The 24,151-nt window shown below is 34.6% G+C and overlaps 1 protein-coding gene across 5 annotated transcripts in view; it reads right to left on the bottom strand.

Annotated features, from left to right (window-relative positions):
• Positions 1-12,559: 12,559 nt before the first annotated feature.
• ZNF257 (zinc finger protein 257) overlaps positions 12,560-24,151 on the bottom strand; it is a 38,997-nt gene continuing 27,405 nt past the window's right edge. For 4 of the 5 annotated variants that reach the window (NM_001316996.2, NM_033468.4, XM_047438121.1 and 1 more), the window contains one exon: positions 12,560-16,063. In NM_001316996.2, the coding sequence (NP_001303925.1) occupies positions 14,598-16,063 (1,466 nt within the window). In that variant the 3' untranslated portion in view covers positions 12,560-14,597. Of the gene's footprint in view, positions 16,064-16,444; positions 16,510-24,151 lie in introns of all 5 variants that reach the window. The other variant, NM_001316997.2, reaches the window with a different exon arrangement.

Raw genomic sequence — 24,151 nt, 5'->3', positions numbered from 1 at the left:
GAAGTTGGGAATAAATTAAGACGTACTATTTAGGCAGGATAGGTAATCAAGAAAGTGACCATGTCCTTGAAATGCAACAACCATGGTGATTGCATGATGACTGCATATTGTCAACAAAATAAACCACAGCATTTGCATAGTATTTCAGCTCATTCAAGCAACACTTTCTCCAGTTAGATAGTATGCACATTTTGATTTTACCTGTTCTCAAACTAACCTTTTACTCATAATAGGAAAATGCACACCTGTGAGTGATTTAGGATGCTTATGAAACATGCGACGTATGAACAAGCATGTACAGCTACTGTGTTTGTGCACCAAGAGAACCACCTAGAACATGCTATTGTAGTAACACCTCTTCCCACATCGTTTTTTTAAGAGACGAAGTCTTCCTCTGTCGCCCAGGCTGGAGTGCAGTGGCTTGATCTCGGCTCACTGCAACCTCCGCCTGCCGGGTTCAAGCAATTCTCCTGCCTCAGCCTCCTGAGTAGCTGGGACTGCAGGTGCACACCACCATCCCCGGCTAATTTTTTGTATTTTTAGTAGAGACAGGATTTCACCATGCTGGCCAGGCTGGTCTCGATCTCCTGACCTTGTGATCTGCCCGCCTCAGCCTCCCAAAGTGCTGGGGTTACAGGCGTGAGGCACTGCGCCCTGCCTTCCCACATCTTTATAAATAACTAAGTAAGATTTGCATAAATACAGTCTCCCTAGTCACAGTCTTTTCTGTCTCATTCTTATAAGCAGCCTGCCTTGAATCCCTTCTCTCTCAGGGTGTACTGGCTATTCTGCACCTAACTTTTAAAATAGTCATTCTCCTTTGCAATACTTTATGCTTCATTTCCTTTGTTGTGTGTCTCTAATTTTTTTTAACTAAGAAGACAAGAAACGAGGTCTTACAACAGCCATCAAGACTGTCATGGTTTGTTTTGTATTCTTTATTATCAATATTTTCTTCTCTGATATGTCAATATGCACATTTTAAACACAGACTACTTTTATTGAAGTCTACTATATAACACTGTTAAATTAAAAATTTAAATCACAAAATAACTTATCATAAAAGCATGTATGTATTTCCATTTCAGCTTTATTACACTATTCAAAATTTTTGTAAAATTTCTGACACACAGTAAAATACATTTATCAAATTTAATATTTTATTTTATAATTTGAATTCAATTCCAAAATGATTTATATTCAAGTTTATTGTTATATTTGCTTTTGACCAATTTAGGCTTTCCAAGCTAAAGATAAACTAAAGCATGTTTTCAAAAGTTCAAGAGATTTAAGCTTACTGGCATGAAATGCTCTGTAGTAAAAAAAAAAAAAAAAAAAAAACAAACTCATTTTTTAATCAATATTTTAATAGTTTTATGTCTGAGTACTTAAACATCAAGGACAGGACTCTGAATGATGTTGATTGCATACTTAATTGATAAAGTAGAAGATAATCATCAAAGTCTAATAAGTGATGGATACAGCAACATAATACTTGACAAAACAATTCAAGAGATGTTTGACAAACAAGAAGGCTGCATAGGAACTACGCTGCATTACTAATGTAAAGTGTTCTCTCTCCCTCTCTAACTTTAGTCTTTATTGACAACCTTACAGCTGCCACATACTCACATACACAGAATAAGAAAAATTAACTCTTTTCCTAGAAGGCAGTGTCTCATCTTTATTATATTATACCTGTTTTACATTGCTGTGACAATGTTGTTCAAGTGCACTTTCTTTATAAGATAACCTGTGTGAATTTGAATAGATTGATAGTGGAGAGAACCAGCTCAGAATACTCACTTGAACTGTCCCTTTGATTTTCAGGCAGTTAAAATGTTTTTGAAGGGTGAAAATAAACTGACTACTGATTAAGCAGAGAGTCTAACATAGAAAAAGGTTTTTCAATTGTTTGAAAGTTACATTGCATGGTCTACAAGTTTTAAAATGTAAAATACGTAATATAAATAATGCACAACTAAATAAGATAGAAATGAAGGAGCTGGCCACAAAGGACAGCCAAAACTCTATTATAGCAATATAGAAAAATATGTATCTACGATCAGAAGAAGGTAACTTGAAGTATTTGAGAGACATTCTCTGAAAATCTACAAGTATTTTTAATTTCTACAAAAATGTTTGTTAGGCACTTTAATTTTCTTTCTTTCTTTCTTTTTGGGACAGAGTCTGGCCCAGGCTGGAGTGCAGTGGTGTGATCTCGGCTCACTGCAAGCTCCGCCTCCCGGGTTCATGCCATTCTCCTGCCTCTGCCTCCCGAGTAGCTGGGACAACAGGCGCCCGCCACCACGCCTGGCAAATTTTTTTGTGTTTTTAGTAGAGACTGGGTTTCACCATGTTAGCCAGGATGGTCTCGATCTCCTGACCTGGGGATCCGCCTGCCTGGGCCTCCCAAAGTGCTGGGATTACAGGCGTGAGCCACTGTGCCTGGCCAGGCACTTTTAATTTTCAAAAAAATTTAAATGCATTTGTTGTCAGTTTGGGTTTTCTGAAGAATTTAAGTAGAAACAATTACAATAACATGTATCAAAAATCAACTTTTCTGGTAACTGATCAGTTTAATTTTCAGACCAAAAGGTTAAATTTTACAAAATTTTATGTTGAAAATCAGAAGCCTCTTTCTTATAACCGAGAGAGATGACACAAAGATGCAGCTTAGAAAATGATTATAGGGTTAGATAATTGTTTAATCGATGTTGATGTTTATTACTATTTTGTCTCAAACGATGTTGATAATGAAGAAATGGCTTTGATCGAAAAAATTTTTTAGAAACTTATCTTCTTAATCAGCCAAAATATTAACCAAAATAAGGCATAGAAAATATTTAACAGTCATAATTTACATTTTAAGAATAATCTACTTCTAGGAATAAAAAAAGGAAGGAAAAATGATATAAAAACAAATGAAAGTAAAGGATGTGGATTACTCACAATAGGTAATGTATGAAGTCAACCTAAGTATTCATCAACAAGGGAATGGATAAAGAAAATGTGGTATATTTACACAATGGAATGCTATTTAGTCTTAAAAAGAAAGTCTTGCTATTTGCAACAACATTAATAAACCCAGAGGACATTGTGCTAAGTGAAATAAGTCAGCAGAGAAAAAACTAATACCAAACAATCTTATTTTTATGTAGAGTTTAAAAATATTCAAGCTCACAGAAGCAGAAAATAGAATAATGCCTGGGACTGGAGGTGGAGATGTTGGTCAAAAGCAATGGGTCTTCCCTAAACCACTTACCTTAACAAATGAATTATTCTCCTATCAGTTTTAATTCAACAAGGAAGTGAATTATATCCTTAAGAATCAAAACAGGCCAGGCGCGATGGCTCACGGCTGTAATCCCAGCACTTTGGCAGGCTGAGGCAGGTGGATCACCTGAGGCCAGGAATTTGAGACCAGCCTGCCCAACATGGCAAAACCCCGTCTCTACTAAAAATACAAAAAAAAGCTGGGCATGGTGGCGGGTGCCTGTAATTCCAGATACTCGGGAGGCTGAGGTAGGAGAATCGCTTGAACCTGGGAGGTGGAGGTTGCAGTGAGCCAAGATTGCACCACTACAGCCTGGGCGACAAGAGTGAAACTCCGTCTCAAAAAAGAAAAAAAAAAGAAAACTGAAGAAATAATATATTTATTAAAGTAATGCAAGATGTATGCTGAAATTTCAGAGGCTTAACAAAATAATATATTTTCTGCTGACATCACTATCTTCTGGTTTTTTTCCTCAAGAGCGAAACTCTGTCTCAAAAAAAAAAGAAAACTGAAGAAATAATATATTTATTAAAGTAATGCAGGATGTATGCTGAAATTCCAGAGGCTTAGCAAAATAATATATTTTCTGCTGACATCACTATCCTCTGGTTTTTTTCTTTTGATGTTGAGAGGACTTCTTCATGATCTTTCAGAGATTATTTTTTCTTTTTTTTTTTTTTGAGATGGAGTTTTGCTCTTATTGCCCAGGCTGGAGTGCAATGGGGCCATCTCAACTTACTGCAACCTCTGCCTCCCAGGTTCAAGCGATTCTCCTGCCTCAGCCTCCTGAGTGGCTGGGATTACAGGCACACGCCACCACACCTGGCTAATTTTTGTATTTTTAGTAGAGACGGGGTTTCTCTATGTTGGTCAGGCTGGTTTTGAACTCCTGACCTCAGGTAATCCACCCGCCTCGGCCTCCTAATGCTGGGATTACAGGCGTTAGCCACAACACCCGGCACACTTTCATTTTCTATCTGCGTCCTTCTCTTTCTTCAGCCAATGGATGAAAAAGGAGATGCTGAGAAGACACATTTGCTTTTCATCCACACATCACTTCCACTCACTATTAGTCAATGTGGGTAGAGCTGAGAATGCCAGTTTCCTGGCAGAATAGCCACTTCTCAGCAGTAAAAAACACACCAAAAGTATAAATCTTTGATAAAAAGCTAACATACTTTAAGCAAAATAAGCATATGCATCAATAATAAAATGCTCGTGGATATTCATTTGGTTGATTTCTTTTGAGCTCAGGTAATATTGATCTAAAGCGAGCAAATATACAGCAGATAAATGAATATCACTGGAAATCAGAATATTGTCAATTAAGTTTTCTGTCAATAGAAGTAAAAATATGACCTCACACTAATAGTCTCACCTGGAGTTGTACAACATCAAATGCTTTTTATTAAAAATTGTATTTCATATAAGTTTTCAATTTATATTACCCTCCACTATTTCAATGCTTTCTCCACTTTTATCAGTAGAAAACAGGCCAGCTGGTTCTAGGAAAGCACGCAGTGCTATTGCTACTTTAACAGTGATGATAAAGAGCAAAGAGCACTTGTTTGAGTGGTACTCACATGCCAAACTCTGTTTTGGGCCCAAAGTACTGGTTTTCTATTTTTCTCTTAATGTACTAATGAAATAAAATTCTTAGCTAAGAAGACTTTATCTCATTCAAGTATGTATTATAGAATTTGATTGACATGTGTCTCTGATTTACCTGGAAAAGTAAATTTTTCTATGAATCCAAATTGAGTACCATACATAAACAATTCTTTTACTAAAAGCCTTTCAGAGGTAGAGTAAGATTTACAAAATTTTATTATAATATGAAAAAACTGTGTTAACCATGTTCTCAGTAATCGCTCTGAACAATGCATTCTTAGTTCCCAGTATTCACCAGAAGTCACTAGGGAAATTGGTGTCTCTGTAAAGAGGCAGAAGAAGGTGCTAAGTGGAGGTGCAGCACCTTTGCACATGCTTTCCACATGCACCTATTAGGGTCTTAATTTAATTGGGCTGTCATTTTCATGGCTAGACACTTACTGAATCTAGTCATACTATTTTTTGGCAGATGATGGCATCTGTTACTCATTAATTTTATATAATTATTTGCTTGGCTGAAAAATAAATGTTTTGTTAACATACTCTAAATTTAGCTTATATTTGCAATTTTTAATCTTTTAATGTTAAAGCAAATCAGAGAAGAGCAATGTGTATATTTAGTATGCTTTTTTTCTGCCTATCAGAATTCTTGTGTTGCCTCAGAAATCCTAGGAAGTTACCTAAAAAAAAAATTTCTCCTAATTTTTTAGCCAGAGTTTTAGATTTCTAAAGGTCAATCATGTAATGATTGAGCAAAGCTAAAATCTTGTCTTTGCTTCTTGGTAGTAACTGGCTGTTTTATTGTTTTTTATTTATTTATTTTTCTGGCCGTTTTAAAAAGCATGGCAATTACGCCAAGACATTGAAAACATGTGGCTTTAATTTTATTCCATTTCAAATGTTTTCTGTTACCTTTATCATGTTAATCTAAGAGAAACTATCTACGTAACTGTTTATGCATTCAAGAAATACTCAAGGTGTTTAAAGTTCAATGTTGTAATACAGTATAATAGGATCTTCTAAAATTAGCAGTTCCTTATTAATAAATTCATTGTTTTCAAGGCTTTTCAATTATGAAAACAAATAATTAGGTATGCTTTCTAATTATAATTTCAATTTTAGGAGGGTACCCACTGGTCTCCATGGTATTTCTGAAATGGATAGTGTAAAACTGGGCCAACCAGAATGGTGCAGATATGCTGATTTATTAGAATGAGTTTAGCTTTCTTAGTAGACTACCGGTATCCCAGAGGCTGATCATTCACTATGGCTTACAAAATGTTTCTCCATAATGCCAGTGAGCACCTTCGACCGTGTTGTCTTTTTCCTCTCATTGATGTGGTCATGTTGTGGTTTTTTCTGTCACCTTAATGCTATCTCAAATGAGAAGTGATTATTTCTTGCATGAATGAGACCCCCCCACCCTTTATTTTCTTGTCATGGAATTCTTCTGTCTTCCTGTGGAAAGCAACATGTGGGAAGCAGAAATGATTACAATATACAAACATTTCCTGCCATGTGACCACCAAAAGCAGCTTACAACATGGCCCACCTAGAAGTCACTTACTTCCAGGCAAGCAGCAGTGTTTTACTATGATGTGTCTCTTCCTCTTAAAAGCACCTCTAATTCAGTTTAGCCAAATTGAGATAATCTCCCTTTTGATGAACACCAAGTCAACATATTAGTAACCTAATTTCATGAGTGATTTCTCACCACAGTCACACCTTTTTTACACTCAAGAGAAAAGGAATGCACAGCAGATGTGCAACAGACCTGGAATCCTTGGGATCATCTTAGAATTTTGCCTACCCACCTGAATAGACTTTTAAAATAGTCTTATAGTTTATTTTGTTATCTAAGTAAACAAAGATATCATCTCCAAATAATTAACTGCTTTCCAATTTTATGTATTGCAAATATTAATATCTTTTTTGCTTAAATTATTTTTTCATGTACCATTCTATACAATCTTATAACAATATAAATGATTCAATTTTTGATTTTTATTAAAAATGAGTGTTTAGATGTATTAAGTTACTGTGAGAATTAAAATCCATTAACACATAAATAATGTTATGGTTAGTGCTCAGTACAAATTAGCTATTAATAAGATATTCATATGCTGAATTACATTAATATGTGCTTTAACACAAATATTTTTACATAACACACGTTTATCAACAAATAAATATATATTTAATTTTTTAAATGTGGTAAATGGAATACAATTCAGCCTTAAAAGAAGGTAAATCCAACCATTTGAAACAATATAGATAAATTTGGAAGACACTATGCTAGAGGGAATAAGTCTGACACAGAAAGACAAACACTGCATGATCTCATTTATATGCAGAATCTAATAAAGTTTAACTCAAAAAAGTAGAAAGTGAAATAATGGTGACTAGAAGGCAAGGGTCTGAGAGGGAAATAGGGATTTGTTAAAGGGTATAACGTTTCAAATAGACAGAGGCAAATAGGGTTTGAGATCTATTGCACAGCAGCATAACTATAGTAAACAATAATGCATTATTTCAAAATAGGAGTACATTTCAGATGTCTCACCACAAAAAGGTTATTGATACGTTATGTAACTTTACTTATTTTATATACATATATCAGAACATCACTTTGTACACTGTAATGTATAAAACTCTGATTTTCCAATAAAAATACTATTTTTTTTTTCAGAGGAGTCTCACTGTGTTGCCCAGGCTGGAGTGCAGTGGCGTGATCTCAGCTCACTGCAACCTCCGTCTCACGAGTTGAAGCAATTCTCCCTCCTCAGCCTTCCGAGTAGCTGGGACTACAGGCGTGCGCCACCACGCCTGGCTAATTTTTGTACTTATTTATTTTTGAGAAGGAGTTTCACTCTTGTTGCCCAGGCTGGAGTACAGTGGTGTGAACTTGCTCACTGCAACCTCCGCCTCCTGGATTCAAGCGAATCTCCTGCTCAGCCTCCCGAGTAGCTGGCATTACAGGTGCCCACGACCACACCCAGCTAATTTTTGGATTTTTGGTAGAGACAGGGTTTCACCACGTTGACCAGACTGCTCTCGAACTCCTGAATTCAGGTGATCTGCCCATCTGGGCCTCCCAAAGTGCTGGGATTACAGGCGTAAGCCACTACACCCAGCCAGTACATTTTTTTTTTTTTTAAAGAGATAAACGTTAAGAAATTGGGTCAGAGAAAAAGTGTTTCTTCATCTTAAAATGCCAGGAAACATACATAAATTAAAACATATACATATATATATATAAACACATATATATAAATTAAAACATATGTTTCCTGGAATTATAAGATGAAGAAATATATATATATATATTTATATTTTATATATATATATATTTCAAATGCCTTTCTCATTTAGTAATGTAGGTAGGTAAACTTTTAATATTATTAATAGTCTGGACCCAAAATTCAGAAATAAAATATCTTGATTTGAATGTTCAACATAACGTAATACTAAGAAACAGACTCTAAAGCAACTGTTTAAAGTTTTCTCTAAATGTCTAAGTAGATGATTTCCTTCACTTGTTAGAGAAAAAATATTTGAATACATATTTGTAAACTACATTTAAGTTTAACAAATGAACATAAATACTTGGCAATAAGAAATTTATTAAACAAGCAGATGAAGAAACAATTTGCCTCTTTAATTTTAACACTGACAAACACTAGGCATTTAAGTGCTTATTTATCTAGTGTTACTGGAGTGCTAAGGAGCAGTACTCAACAAGAAATCTTTCCACAGATATTTGTAACTATGCTGTATGTGAATATATGGGAATTTGCCAAAGATAGTATTAAAAACATCCAACTACCATTATAGCCCCGGACTGACTGATTAGAATAAACATGGGTTACAAACCACTGATTCGGCCACGTTCTTTTTAGGCTCAACATTGATCACGAGCTAACAGAATCAACAAGAGCTGATAAATTTCCTGTACACTCACGATGTGCTGGGAACTCTTCTGGTACCTTTATCAGTATTAATTGCTCTGATTTTACTAATATCCTAAGATTTAAGCACTATTATCCTCACTGTACAGCTTAAGGGTTAAGCACACGGAGGTTAACAAACTGTATTCAGGTCATACAGCTCATAAGTGGCAGAACTAGGATGCAAACAGGAACCACCTCATACTAAGTATCAATCTTAATCATTAAGCCCAACACCCTCTCGCCTAATGCTTTTTTCCATTTCCAACGTAACATTTTGGCTTTGAATTTTCTACTTTAGTAGAATCTAAAAGGAATTTAAAAATCACTATTTATACCTTTAGATAGTATGTAGAACTGGATTTTTGGTTTAAAGTACTCATTACTAAGCCTAACAAAAATACATTGGTAAATGGCTACTAACAATGATATTTCTCTTATTATTTAAAAGAACCACTCATTTTACCTTTTATCAAATTTTTATATTAAAAGCTAGAATGAGCCTATGATTAAATAGAAAACTTATGGTCTGCATATACCTGATCATTTTTTTACTGGTTTACACTTTCTGAAAGTTTCAGAAACACTAATATCAGAATACTTTTTCCTATTTAATAATTAAAGAATATTAAGTTTTTACAGTGACTAAAATAGTCTGGAATTACTTTTTTTATTTTTAAAAAATTGTATTTACTTATTTTTTTTTTGAGATGGAGTTTCAGTCTTGTTGCCCAGGCTGGAGTGCAGTGGCGCGATCTTGGCTCACTGCAACCTCCACCTCCCAGGTGCAAGTGATTCTCCTGCCTCAGCCTCCCGAGTAGCTGGGATTACAGGCGCTCGCCACCATGCCCAGCTAATTTTTGTATTTTCAGTAGAGACAGGGTTTCACCATGTTGGCCAGGCTAGTCTCGAACTCCTGGCCTCAGGCAATCCACCTGCCTTGGCCTCCCAAAGTGCTAAGATTACAGGTATGAGCCACTGCATCCGGTCAATAGTTTGGAATTACTAATCAGTCACTTACCAATGATCAAGGAGTTGGCTACAGTTAGGTGAGTAAAAATCTGTAGACTAAACTGTACCTACTAAAAAAAAGTCATATAAAAGAATATGGGCTGAGCGCAGTGGCTCATGCCTGTAATCCCAGTACTTTGGGAGGCCGAGGCGGATCTCAAGGTCCGGAGTTTGAGACCAGCCTGACCAACATGGTGAAACCCCGTCTCTACTAAAAATACAAAAGTTAGCCGGGCATGGTGGTGTGCACCTGTAATCCCAACTACTCAGGAGGCTGAAGCAGGAGAATCGCTTGAACCTGGGAGGAGGAGGTGGCAGTGAGTTGATATCATGCCAGTGCACTCCAGCCTGGGTGACGGAACGAGACTCCATCTCAAAAAAAAAAAAAAGAGTGGAATTTCTCCAAATTGTTTTATCAAGATGTAAAATAAATATTATTCCAAATTTCAGATCCACAGGTCATTGTACTGTTTTGCCACATTCAACATTCACACTTAAAAATATAAGATTCTGCCAGTCACAGTGGCTCACGCCTATAATCTCAGCACTTTGGGAGGCCGAGGCGGGTGGATCACCTGAGGTCAGGAGTTTGAGACTAACCTGGCCAACATGGCGAAACCCCATATCTACTAAAAATACAAAAATTAGCTGGGCGTGGTGTAATTCCAGCTACTTGGGAGGCTGAGGTAGGAGAATCGCTGGAATCTGGGGGATGGAGGTCACAGTGAGCCGACATTGGGCCACTTCACTCCAGCCTGGGAGAGAGAGTGAAACTCTGTCTCAAAAAAAGAAAAAAAAAAAGATTCTGCATAGAAACATAAGTTGTGCTATAAATATATCATAGAAAATTAAATTTAAAATTGTTCATTTACCATTAACTCTATTTAGAATCTAATTTCTGAAATATTTTTACAAATTTTATATTTGCCATGCTTTTTGCAAGAATAAAACTTTTTTTTTTTACAAAGAAAAAGCTAACTGATGTAATCTTTTCACTTGTTAACAGTGTATGTCTATTCTCTTAATTGACTAATCTGAAAGTTTTATTGATAAGCAAATTCTTCAGTTAAAACCAATTTTTCAATGCATTAAAAATACCAACTTTCTCATGAGAACCCACAAACTACCATGTAAAATGACATGGCATGAAGACAACAATGAGAAAACTGTAGTCATAACACAGTAAAAGAAGAAAGACTGTGATGCATATATAGTTGGAATACACTAAGTAAGACAAAACTGAAGATCAGTAGAAAATAAAAGCAGCAGAATTTGTGTTTAAATTCAGCAAGTCAGCTTTGCAGCCTGAAAATGTCCTCTCCACATGATGAATCAATGTTATTTCTTCACCATTGCTATTTTCCATCTCTGACTTGAAGTTACAAACTAACTCCAGCAAAAATATTTATGACTTATTATAAAGCATGTTTTACTCAGAAGAACTGTCATATTTGTTTGCTACATTTATATGTAAAAACATCCTCATGACTTATGAAGTCTCCCTAGTACTTACCAAAGCAAATTAGCTCACTCAATAGATTTACTTATGTCAATTATAAAAAGTGAAAGAAACAATAAAGAAAATTAGCCTTATACAGGTTTCTCCAATAAAACAAAAATCAAACGTTAAAATATAACAATATAACTATTATATAAAAACTAACTTATATAAAAATATAACTAATTTTGTAATTACATCTAAAAATTATTTTGTGTGCACTCTTAAATTTCATAAAAATCATTCTTATAATCCCTGACCAGCTCACATAATGAGTACTTCATAAAATACAAAACAAGAACATTATGGGTCTAGCATGAGTACCAGACAAGTAAAAACAGAGAATGTGCATAGGGAGATTCTGAACTATAAGCCCTAACATTTTATAGCAATGAATTCAATACAATGCACAGAGTATAGATTTGCTTTCAACATTTTCGAGGTTTTTAGTTTTCTAATAAGTCACCTTATTAAAATAATTTGTTTTGTTCCAATATTGCTTTCTCCTTCCAAAAATGGGTACAAACTCATACTCATACACACTTACTTCATAATTTTCTTACACCTAAGGTTTATCTTTAGAGTAATATATGTATATGTTTAACTCTATGTAAATCAAAACTAAAAGCCTATATGTGTTTGCAGGCAGAGATAAATCATGTTCAAAGAAAAATATGTAACAAATTCTTTAAATATTTATTCAGTACTTAGAAATGTATCAATTTTATTTATACTTCTATATAAATTTTATTATGACCATAAAAATGACCCTGTAGTCAGAACAATTGCAAATTTTAAAATAAAGTACTTTTAATATTTTAAAATAACAATATTTTTATTTTACTAATCAAATTGTTTGTAATAAAAAGGATAAATGCTAGAGGTGATGGATGCCTCATTTATCCTGATGTAACTATTATATATTATATGCCTGTACCAAAATATGCCATATATGGCATAAATATATACACATACTGTGTAACCACAAAATTAAAAAGAATAAATTTAAGAAAAAAAGGATAAAAATGTAACCTATGGGAAAAATATTTTTTAACTTATTTGCAATTTGAAGCCATTGGCAGAAGAGATTACTAGAGGTGTTATTCCACTATGTTGCCAAATAGCATATTGTTACCATATTTTACCTACACCCTTGAGTAAGGTGGGGTATGTTAAAGTTAGTGGAATAATAATACTCCACTGAATGCACAAGTCTTTTTTTTTTTTTTTTTTTTGAGACGAAGTCTTGCTCTTGTTGCCTAGGCTGGAGTGCAATGTCGTGATCTTGGCTCACTGCAACCTCTGCCTCCTGGGTACACGTGATTCTCTTGCCTCAATCTCCCAAATAGCTGGGATTTCAGGCACCCACCACCATGCCTGGCTAATTTTTTGTATTTTCAGTAGAGACAGGGTTTCACCATGTTGGCCAGGCTGGTTTCAAACTCCTGGCCTCAATTGATCCGCCCGCCTCAGCCTCCCAAAGTGTTGGGATTACAGGCGTGAGCTACTGTGCCCGGCCTGAACGTACAATAGTCTTAACGTGGTAAAAGAAAATATTTAATTATAAATTAAGTCCACAAATAATCTAAAAATTTTAAAATGTACTGCATTTTATTAAATAAAAGTACAATCACTAACATTATATGGTACTATTTTAATTTTAACTTACATTTAACTAAAATTAAAAATGTTTTTCTCTCATAACATGAGCAACTACTTCATACATCACTAAGTTAACCACAAAGAACCTCTTCACTTAGACTCTTATGCATCTTATATTTCAGTGTCCTTACTATTTTATAGAAGAGGTCGTATATAATTCCCACCTAATAAAGTATCTCTCATATCTCTGATGCAGCAATAGTTGATCACATGCTTTCACAGGTGAATACAATAGAAATGAAGAAACAGCATGAAGTAATTTGAGAGTTGACTTACATCATTATTTACTTTTAAAAAGCTTTATAATTTTATCAAAAAAGTATACTTGAATTTAATTATGACTTCTCAAAGAAATGTCTACTCATTTTAAAGTTACATAAAATTAATTTACTTACCAACTGTAGTTTTGGATTTTCTATACTCAGCAATCTGATTTAGTGTAATGTCTGAAGTGTCAGTGCCTTAGCTATTTCTACTGTTAATTCTCTGATAATTATATAAACTCAATTTGAATTAAATATTTCTTTGTATTTATTGCATCTGCAAAAGTATATTTTAGTATGAGCTCTCTGGCATTTTCTAAGCTATAGTTATGGAAAAAATGTTTTTCCAAATTAATCACACTTGCTGAATTCTTCTCCAACATAAATTTCCTAATGCTGAACAAAATTTTAGCAACTGCTTCAGGGTTATTCTCTAGTACAAAATGTGTACAATAAAATCTGTGATACAAGTAAAAGCACTACAAACCCCTTTATATTTGTAATGTTTGTCTTTAGAATGAACTCTTCTTCACTTTAAAGGTTTATATTTCTGAAAGATCATTTGACAGTAATTGTATTTATAATACTTTTATTAAGTATGAACTCTCTGATGTGTAATATGTGAGCAAATATTAATGACTTTTCCACATTCTTTATATTTGTACACCATTTCTCAACTATAAATGCTTTCCTGTACAATAAGTTGTGAACACTGGTTAAAAGTTATATTCTTCACACTTGGAGTTTTCTCCGGTATAAATTATTTTACCTGCAATCAAGTGTGAAAACCATTTAAAAGTTTTTCATGTTCTTTATATTTCTAGAGTTTCGCACTAGTATAATTTTTTTTTATGTTTAGAAAAGTTTGAGGTATTGTTAAAAGCACTGTGACATCATTCAGGATTGTAGTTTCGCTCCAGTATGAAACATCTTATATCTGTTAAGAATTGAGGACTTATTAAGGGCTTTGTGACATTCTTCACACTTTAGGATTTCTGTCCAGTATAAATTATGTGTAATAAGGGTTGAGAACTTTTAAAGGCCTTGTCACATTCTTCATATTTGTAGGCTTTATCTTCCACATGTGTTCTCATGTTTAGTAAGAGTTGAGAACTGGGAAGAGGCTATGCCACATTCATCACATTTCAAGAGTTTCTCTCCAGCATGAATTATTTTATGCTTAGTAAATGTTGAGGATTTGTTAAAAGCCAGGCCACGTTCTTCACATTTGTAGGGTTTCTCTATTATGAATTCCCTTATGTTTAGTAAGGATTGAGGAACAGTTAAAAGCTTTGACACATTCTTCACATTTGTAGGGTTTTTCTCCATTATGAATTATGTTTAGTAAGGTTTGAGGAATGGTTACAAGCTTTGCCACATTCTTCATATTTGTTGGGGTTCTCTCCAGCATGAATTCTCTTATGTACGGTAAGGTATGAGAAACGATTAAAAGGCTTGCCACATTCTTCACATTTGTAGGGTTTCTCTCCAGTATGAATTATCTTATGTTGAGAAAGGTGTGAAGACCGGTTAAAGGCTTTGCCACATTCTTCACATTTGTAGGGCTTCTCCCCAGTATGAATTATTTTATGTTGAGTAAGGTGTGAAGACTGGTTAAAGGCTTTGCCACACTCTTCACATTTGTAGGGTTTCTCTCCAGTATGAATTATCTTATGTCGAATAAGGTATGAAGACCGGTTAAAGGCTTTGCCACACTCTTCACATTTGTAGGGTTTCTCTCCAGTATGAATTATCTTATGCTGAGTAAGGGTAGTAAGAGCTGAGGACCAGTTAAAAGCTTTGCAATATTCATCACATTTGTAGGCCTTCTCTCTAGTATGAATTCTCTTATGTTTAGTAAGGTGTGAAGACCGGTTAAAGGCTTTTCCACACTCTTCACATTTGTAGGGTTTCTCTTTAGTATGAATTATCTTATGTTGAGTAAGGTGTGAAGACCGGTTAAAAGCTTTGCCACACTCTTCACATTGGAAGGGTTTCTCTCCAGTATGAATCATCTTATGTCGAGTAAGGGCTGAGGACTGGTTAAAGGCTTTGCCACACTCTTCACATTTGTAGGGTTTCTCTCCAGTATGAATTCTCTTATGTTGAGTAAGGGTAGTAAGAGCTGAGGACCACTTAAAGGCTTTGCAACATTCATCATATTTGAAGGGCTTCTCTCTATTATGAATTCTCTTATGTTGAGTAATGTGTGAAGACCGGTTAAAGGCTTTGCCACACTCTTCACATTTGTAGGGTTTCTCTCTAGTATGAATTACCTTATGTTGAGTAAGGTGTGAAGACCGGTTAAAAGCTTTTCCACACTCTTCACATTTGTAGGGTTTCTCTCCAGTATGAGTCATCTTATGTCGAGTAAGAGCTGAGGACTGGTTAAAGGCTTTGCCACATTCTTCACATTTGTGGGAATTCTCTCTAATATGAATTCTCTTATGTCGAGTTAGTTGTGAAAGCATGCAAAATGATTTGCCACATTCTTTACATTTGCAAGTTTTCTTTTCAGTATGTCTTATCTTATGTCTATCTGAATTTGAAAACTTATAGAAGACTTTTACATATTTATCACATTGATACATTTTGCTCTGGGTAGTTATCAGACATTGGTTAAGTCCATTATAACCTCCTTTGCACACCTTACACTCATCCACACTTTTACAGCCCTTTCTTAATTGTAAATTCTCATGTTCACATTTATCATATCTCCTCAGTATGACTTTTTGGAAAAAATATTTTATGTCTCGCTCTGGGCAAAGGTCTTCAGCAATATGAGAACACATAACTAAAAGAAATAAAAACAACAAATTACTCCACTTACTAGACTCAGGTAAATATTTTTTACAAATCTAACCTATAAAACTGTATATACTACATAAGGAAGATGGCATAGCAAAATACCACAGGCTCTAATTTATTCAAAAACATATAAAATGTAACAAAAACATACTGACCAAAACACATTTTTGGAAAATTTATAAATGAGTTAAGTGTGTAAAGTGCCCCAGGTTAACACGATGTAAAAAGCAACATAGAAGAAAAAGAAAAATCTGTTATATTAACCCAACACAGTACTTCCTTCTCCTCAGTATAACATAGTGCCCTTAGAAGTAAATTGCCAACTCCTTGTTTCTATTTAAAAGACAAGAAAAATATTGGCACATACATTTCTATGTCTGGCTTTTAGGGGTCTTTCAAGACACTGGTTTCATTCTCCCATTAAATAAAATGCTGAAAAAAAATAGTATACTTTAGAATGACAATTTGAGACTGCTGAGACCAAAGGTAAATGTTACAGCAGCAGACAGACTGCAGTACCACAGACAGGTAACAAGTGTAGCAAGTGATTGATAACTAGGAAGAAGTGCAAATAAACTTTTTAAACTAGAAAATAAAACATTTCAGATCAGACACACTCTAAGAACATGTTTGAAAGGCTCCCAGAATGTCTAGCCATGACAACTGGTTTTAGACTATGCCGGGATAAAGCTACATTGTAAAGATTGTGACAGGTAGCCTTTTTTTTTTTAAATGTCCCAGTCTCAAAGATTACAATGTGTACAAAATATTAGGGCAACATGGCCCCATCAAACAAATCATGAAATTTTCAGAAAGCAATCATTATAAAATAAAAATGTATAAATTTTAGAAATTTAAAATAAGTTGAATAATAATGAGTAAAAGGAGCACAGACAACTACTGAAAATCAGAAAAATAAGAAAAACGGCAAAAATATTAAAAGCATTTTAAAAACAGTAATTGTGGAGGTAAATAATACAAAGAGATAATTAACCAATTCTAAAAGAAAAATGATATAAAAATAAAGAAGTTCAAAAAACAAAAATACACATACAAGATATTTATTTAAAAAAACACATATATAAGAACAACTTAAAATGTCACAGACGAGACAATCTCAAGAACTGCAAGACAAAAGTGATGTGTCATTTATTGGCATAGAGTTACACACTAAACAGTGAGTTTTTCAAAAGAAAATTTTGCAGGCCAGAAGAAAACTGTGTGATATTGTCAAAGTCCTGAAGAAAAAATGCTGTCAGGTGAAAAGAATAATCATCAGCAAAAACATCCTACCAAATAAATAAAAAAAAAAGACCTTCTAAAATAACCAAATCCCGAGACAGTATATTGGCACTGCATATGGCCTATATAGATCAAAGATGCTGAAAAAAGTTTCTTCCACTGAAAATAACACGATGCAAGAAATCAACACATAATCATATAAAAATACATGTTCCTGGGAAACATACATACACAAAAATAGAATTCCTTATCATTCTCATAATGGGACAGAAAACATTTATAATTATGCTCTAAAATTAGAAAAATAAAAGAACAGAAATTATTGTGAATATCTGTTAATAAATATACAACATATAATCAGCAATATCAATAACAAAGTCGAGGGCAGATGTAATGAGGAAAAATTTTTGTATATAACTGAAGTTCATTTTTCACCAGATTAAATATATACTGCTTTATCTTTTAGAGGTTTTATGTAATCCCTAAGGTACCACAAAGAAAATATCTGTATAGACACCCAAAAGAAAATAAGAAAGAAGCGAAACCACATCAATACTAAAATGAAACAGACACAATGGAAGACAGAAAGGGAGAAAATGAGGGACAAAGATACAAGAATCAAATAAAATAATTAATAAAATAACGGAAGTCTTTGTCTTTTAGAAAATTACTTACATATAGGTATAATTAGCTTTCTAGTTTCAAATAAAGGGATTCATTAAAAAACATTAAAACTCAAGGCCAGACTTGCCTTTCTATAACAGTCAGTTTAGAACTAATAATTAAAAAAGCCTGAAAGTGGCAAGATTGCTGTAGGCATTTTATCCAAATATTAACCAAATGAGAGCAGAAAAGGTCAAAATAGTATTACGCAAGCTATATCTTAAGTCAAAAACTCATATTATATAAAATGTATATGAAGTCAAAACTCAAAAAGACAAAGGACATTAAGCAATAATAGATTGATGGGGAACCTATGAAAAATTTGTATATACTCATGTTTGCGTGTTTGTGTGTGTGTGTGTGTGTGCATGTGTGTGTGTATCTCACATTAGGGTTCCAAATATGTAAGGTAAATACTGACATAATTGAATAAACACATAGAAAGCAATATAATTATAGTAGGATATTTCAATACCTCACTTTCTCTGATAATAATAAAACAAGAGAATATTAATAAGGAAACAGTGGACTTGAAGGCAGTATAAAACAAGTATTTCTAACACAGATATAGAGAAAACTTCTCAACATCAGGAAACACACCCGTTGCAATAGCTCATACAATCTTTTTGATAGACCACCGGTTAGGTCAAAAAATAAATCTTAACAAGTGTTTTAAAACTAAAATTTTGAGCCAGGCATCGTGGCTCACACCTGTAATCTCAGCACTTTGGGAGGCCACGGCAGGTGGATCACCTGAGGTCAGGAGTTCAAGACCAGCCTGGCCAACATGAAAATACAAAATTAGCCAGGTGTGGTGGTCTCTACTGAAAATACAAAATTAGCCAGGTGTGGTGGTGCATGCCTGTGATCCCAGCTACTTGGGAGGCTGAGGCAGGAGAATCGCTTGGACCCAGGAGGCGGAGGTTGCAGTGAGCAGAAATCGCGCCACTGAACTCCAGCCTGGCAACAGAGCAGGACTCTGTCTCAAAACAAACAAACAACAACAACAAAAAAAAAAACTAAAACTTTGGCCAGGCACGGTGACTCATGCCTGTAATCCCAGCAGTTTGGGAGGCCAAAGCGGGTGGATCACCTGAGGTCAGGAGTTTGAAACCAGCCTGGCCAACATAGTGAAACCCTGTCTCTACCAAAAATAAAAAATTAACTGGGCCTGGTGGCATGCGCCTATAATCTCAGATACTCAGCAGGCTAAAGCACGAGAATCACTTGAACCCGGGAGGCAGGAGTTAGTTAGCCGAGATCACTCCACTGCACCCTAGCCTGGGCAACAGAGTGAGATTGTCTCAAAAAAAAAAAAAAACCCTAAAATTTTATAGATTACTTTCTATGAACAAAATGGAATAAGAATATGAAACAATGGAAAAAACTGAAAATTTCACAAATATATAGAAATTAAACGATACACTCAAGCATGCTCTTTTTCAAAAGTTAAAATAATTAATATTGTATAGATGTTTATACTGTTTAATGTAATCTACAGATTTAATGCAATGTTTTTCAAATTTCTCATTGCACTTTTGAAAAAATAGCAATAACAAACTCAGGAGTGCTATTGCAAGAGACAACAAAGTACCCAACAATCTTCAAAAAAAAAAAGAAACAATGTTGGAGGCATTATAATTCCTTATTTCAAAACAGATTACAAAGCTACAGAATTAAAACAATTTGGTATCAGTATCAAGCTGAAAACTAGACAAATCAAATAGAATGCAACACGTAAACTTTCATATATATGGTCATATAAAGAGTCATTTACATACCCATAATAATTGTAGCATTGTTACGGAAAGCCAATAGTTAAAAACAATGCTAATTTCTGTCACCAAATTATTCAATAGATATAATTTGAAATGTAAAAATACTGGAACATCACTCAGTTTTCTTTTTTTTTTTTTTGAGATGAAGTCTTGCTCTTGTCCCCCAGGCTGGAGTGCGATGGCGCGATCTCAGCTCACTGCAACCTCTGCTTCCCGGGTTCAAGCAACTCTCCTGCCTTGGCCCCCCGAATAGCTAGGATTACCGGCACCTGCCACCATACCCAGCTAATTTCTGTATTTTTAGTTGAGACGGGGTTTCACCATGTTGGCCAGGCTGGTCTAGAACTCCTGACCTCAGGTGATCCACCCACCTTGGTCTCCCAAAGTGCTGGGATTACAGGCGTGAGCTACCACACCGGACCACATCACTCAGTTTTCAAAAAGCAGAAAATATTCTAACAACTACACAGATAAATCTTGATGATATTTTGCAAAGTGACATAAGCCAGCCACAAACAGACAGAGATTGTATGAGATATATAAAGAAGTTACACCACTAGGAAGAGAAAACAGAGTGGTGTTTCAAAAGTGCCATAATACTGGAAAAATTGGTAGTTGTATAATGTGTATTGAGATTTAGCTTTGCAAGATAAAAACACTTCAGCAATTATGTTGCATAACAATGTCAATATAACTAAAAAATAAACCAGAATATTTGAAAATATTTTATTATAAATTATTATGTGTTTTTGACAAGTAAAAATGAACAATAGTAGCTAGAAGAGAAATTTAGTTATGAGTTTAGTTTTTCGAGATGGAGTTTCACTCGTCACCCAGCTGGAGTGCAATGGCGCGATCTTGGCTCACTGCAATCTCCACCTCCTGGGTTCAAGCAATTCTCCTGTCTCGGCTTCCTGAGTAGCTGGATTACAGGCGCCCACCACCATGCCTGGCTAATTTTTTTGTATTTTCAGTAGAGACGGGGTTTCACCACTTTGGCCAGGCTGGTCTCAAACTGCTGACCTAAGGTTATCCACCCACGTCGCCCTCCCAAACTGCTGGGATTACAGGTGTGAGCCACCACACCCTGTCGGTAGTTTTTAAATTATCTTCAAAGCCAAAAGTATTTCTTTCACAGAAAAATAATATAGATTCATGAATAAACCGGATATGGAAGATTCACAAATAAATAGGATGTTGAAATTAGGAGAATTTTTGTGGCTACTCATCTACACAGGATTAAACAACCTTTCACAACAAACCTACACCACAAATATACAAGTTATAAAGAAACACAGGGATAATATTTATAAAGGCAAACAAACACAGAGACAATTATATTGGCACTAGCTGTATGGCTGATTCATATTTGATTTTGCTCCACACTGTCTTAAATTGTTCAGAACTAAATATTGTCATACACAATTATAATATAAACTGAAAAATCAAAACACAATTAACTGGTATGAGATGTCATGTTCTAAAATATATAATACAAAAATATAAAATTGCAAAACAAATTTAAAACATAGAATGTAATACTTATTGGACAGCATCAAGTCGATCAATATATTCATGAACAAAATGCTGGAAGAAGACTATAGGGAAAAAGTAATACAGAGTTTACTTGAAAATGAAAAAGACTAAGTACTTCCCAAATTTTGAGGTAATAAAATCATACCTGACCAATAATACTTGATTTGAAATTATGTTACTTCAAAAAAAGATAAAAATAAACACTTTCCAAAATAAAAGGTGAGAGTGTTCATCACGACTAGCACTGTCCTATAAAAAATGCTACATGGTGGCGAGGCACAGTGGCTCATGCCTGTAATCTTACAGTTTTAGGAGGCCCAGGCAGTCACATCACTTGGGACCAGGAGTTCAAGAACATCCTGAGGAACATGGTGACTTTGCATATAAAAACAAAGAAATGCTACGAGTCCATTATGCTGAAAAATAAAATTCGCACAGCATCATATGACTATGTAAATATAAACCTCTCTATTAAATGTAAATATACAGACACACATGGAATCCTTTACTATTATAATGATGGTGCATAAAATCCCTAAATTTCTTCTACAGAATATGAAAAACAAAATATAAATCTGCATAAATCTGTTATTAGATATAATTTGTAATATTAATAACAAAAATGTAGAGGTATAGTATTTGTATTCAGTTGAAGTTATGAGATTAAAATATATTGTTTTAACCTTAAGATGTTTTATGTAATCTTCATTTTTCAAGATGATTATGAAGATAATATTTATAGAAAGTATGCTAAACAAATAGAAAAGTAAGGCATGTCACTATAAAATTAAGCAAAATTTAAGGTGGTAAAATAGGAAATGAGAAAAAACATATCTATAAGAGCACATAAAACAATAACAATAAAACTGGTAATAGAAACATTTCTTCAAGCAATTATTTTAAATACAAATTAATTAAACTATTTAATTTTTAAAAATGTAATCCCAGGACTTTGGGAGGCCAAGGTGGGCTGATCACTTGATCTCAGAAGGTCAAAACCAGAGTGGGCAACACGGCAAAACTGTGTCTCTACAAAAAATACAAAAAAACTAGCAGGGTGTGATGCCACATACTTGTAACCCAGCTGCTTGAGAGGCTGAAATGAGAGGATCATCTGAGTTTGGGAGGCTGAAGCTGCTGTGAGCCATCATTAAACCACTGCAAACCAGCCTGGCTGACAGAGTGAGAATCTATCTCAAAAATAAAAAATTAAATAAATTATATTTAAAAAATTAAATGCCTAATTGGCTTAAGAAAAACAGCATACAATATGCTGCATACAAGAGATTCATTTTAGAATTTAGTTAAATAGGCTGAAAGTAACAGAATGAAAAAAATCTATATTCCATGCAAATAGTAATTATAATTGGGTGGGTAGGCATAATTATGGTAGACATAATTATGGTAGTCCTAAGTACTAGCATGAGACAAAGACTGATATTATATAATGGTAAAATGGGTCAATTTAACTGGTATCTATCCATATGTATATGAGTATATATATACGTATACCTACAGATACGTGTATATATAACATATATATGTATACATATAGATATCTATATAGGACCGGGCATGGTGGCTCATGCCTTTAATCCCAGAACTTTGGGAGGCCGAGGCAGGTGGATGACGAGGTCAGGAGTTCGAGACAATGCTGGTTAACATGGTGAAACCCCGACTCTACTAAAAATACAAAAATTAGCCGAGCATGGTGGCACGTGCCTTGTAGTCCCAGCAACTCGGGAGGCTGAGGTGGAAGAATTGTTTGAACCTGGGAGATGGAGGTTGCAGTGAGCTGAGATCGTGCCACTGCACTCCAGCCTGGGCAACAAAGCAAGACTCTATCTCAAAAAAAAAAAACCAACTATATAGATATATAATATAATTAATGTATTTAATAAAATACTTATCTAGCTATATGTATATGTATATATAATATCAGGGCTCCAAAATATATAAAGCAAATATCAACAAATTGAAGCAGGAAATACATAGCAACATAGTTGTAGACATCAAGACCTCATTTTCAATAATAAATAGAAAATTCAGATAAAATAGCAATAATAAAACAGAGAACTTAGAAAACATTATAGACTGTATAAATTATTTTGAATACACAGGAAGCCTGATAGTAGATAATTTATTTAAAAAAAAAAAGATTTGGCTCACAGTTCGGCAGACTGTACAAGAAGTGTGTGCCAACATCTGCTTCTGGTGAGGGTCTCAAAAAGCTTACAATCATGGTGGAAGGCCAAGAGTAACTGGTAACTGGACATACCACATGGTAACAGACAGCAAGTGTAAGGTGAAGGAGCCAGGTTCTTTTAATGAGCCAGCTCTCTTTTGAATTAATAGAATGTAAAATTTTGATTACAAAGAGGATGGTGCCAACCCATGCACAAGGAATTTTTCCTCACAAACCAAACACCTCCCACTGGTCTTACATTCAACATTGAGAATTACATGGCAGCATGAAGTCCTCATGCCTATAACCCCAACACTTTGGAAGAACAAAGTGAGAGGCTCTCTTGGGGCCAGAAGTTTGAGACCAGGCTGGGCAACATAGTGAGACCCTGTTCCTACAAATAATAAAAAAATTAGCCAGACGTGGTAATGCATGTCTATAGTCCCAGCTACTAGGGATGCTGAGGTGAAAGGATCACTTGAGCCCAGGAGGTTGAGGTGACAGTGAGCCAAAATCATGCCACTGCACTCCAGCCTAGGTGACAGAGTAAGATCCTGTCTAAAAACAACAATAAATACATTTAAGTATACCAAAATTATACACTGTGCGTTTTCTGACCACAATTGAATAAAACTAGGAATTAAAAGCAAAACTGGCAAGTCCAAAAGTA

The sequence above is a fragment of the Homo sapiens genome, chromosome 19, assembly GCF_000001405.40.
Source record: "Homo sapiens chromosome 19, GRCh38.p14 Primary Assembly".
In the NCBI taxonomy this organism is placed as follows: domain Eukaryota; kingdom Metazoa; phylum Chordata; class Mammalia; order Primates; family Hominidae; genus Homo; species Homo sapiens.
This window is presented reverse-complemented; position numbering and strand designations above follow the sequence as displayed.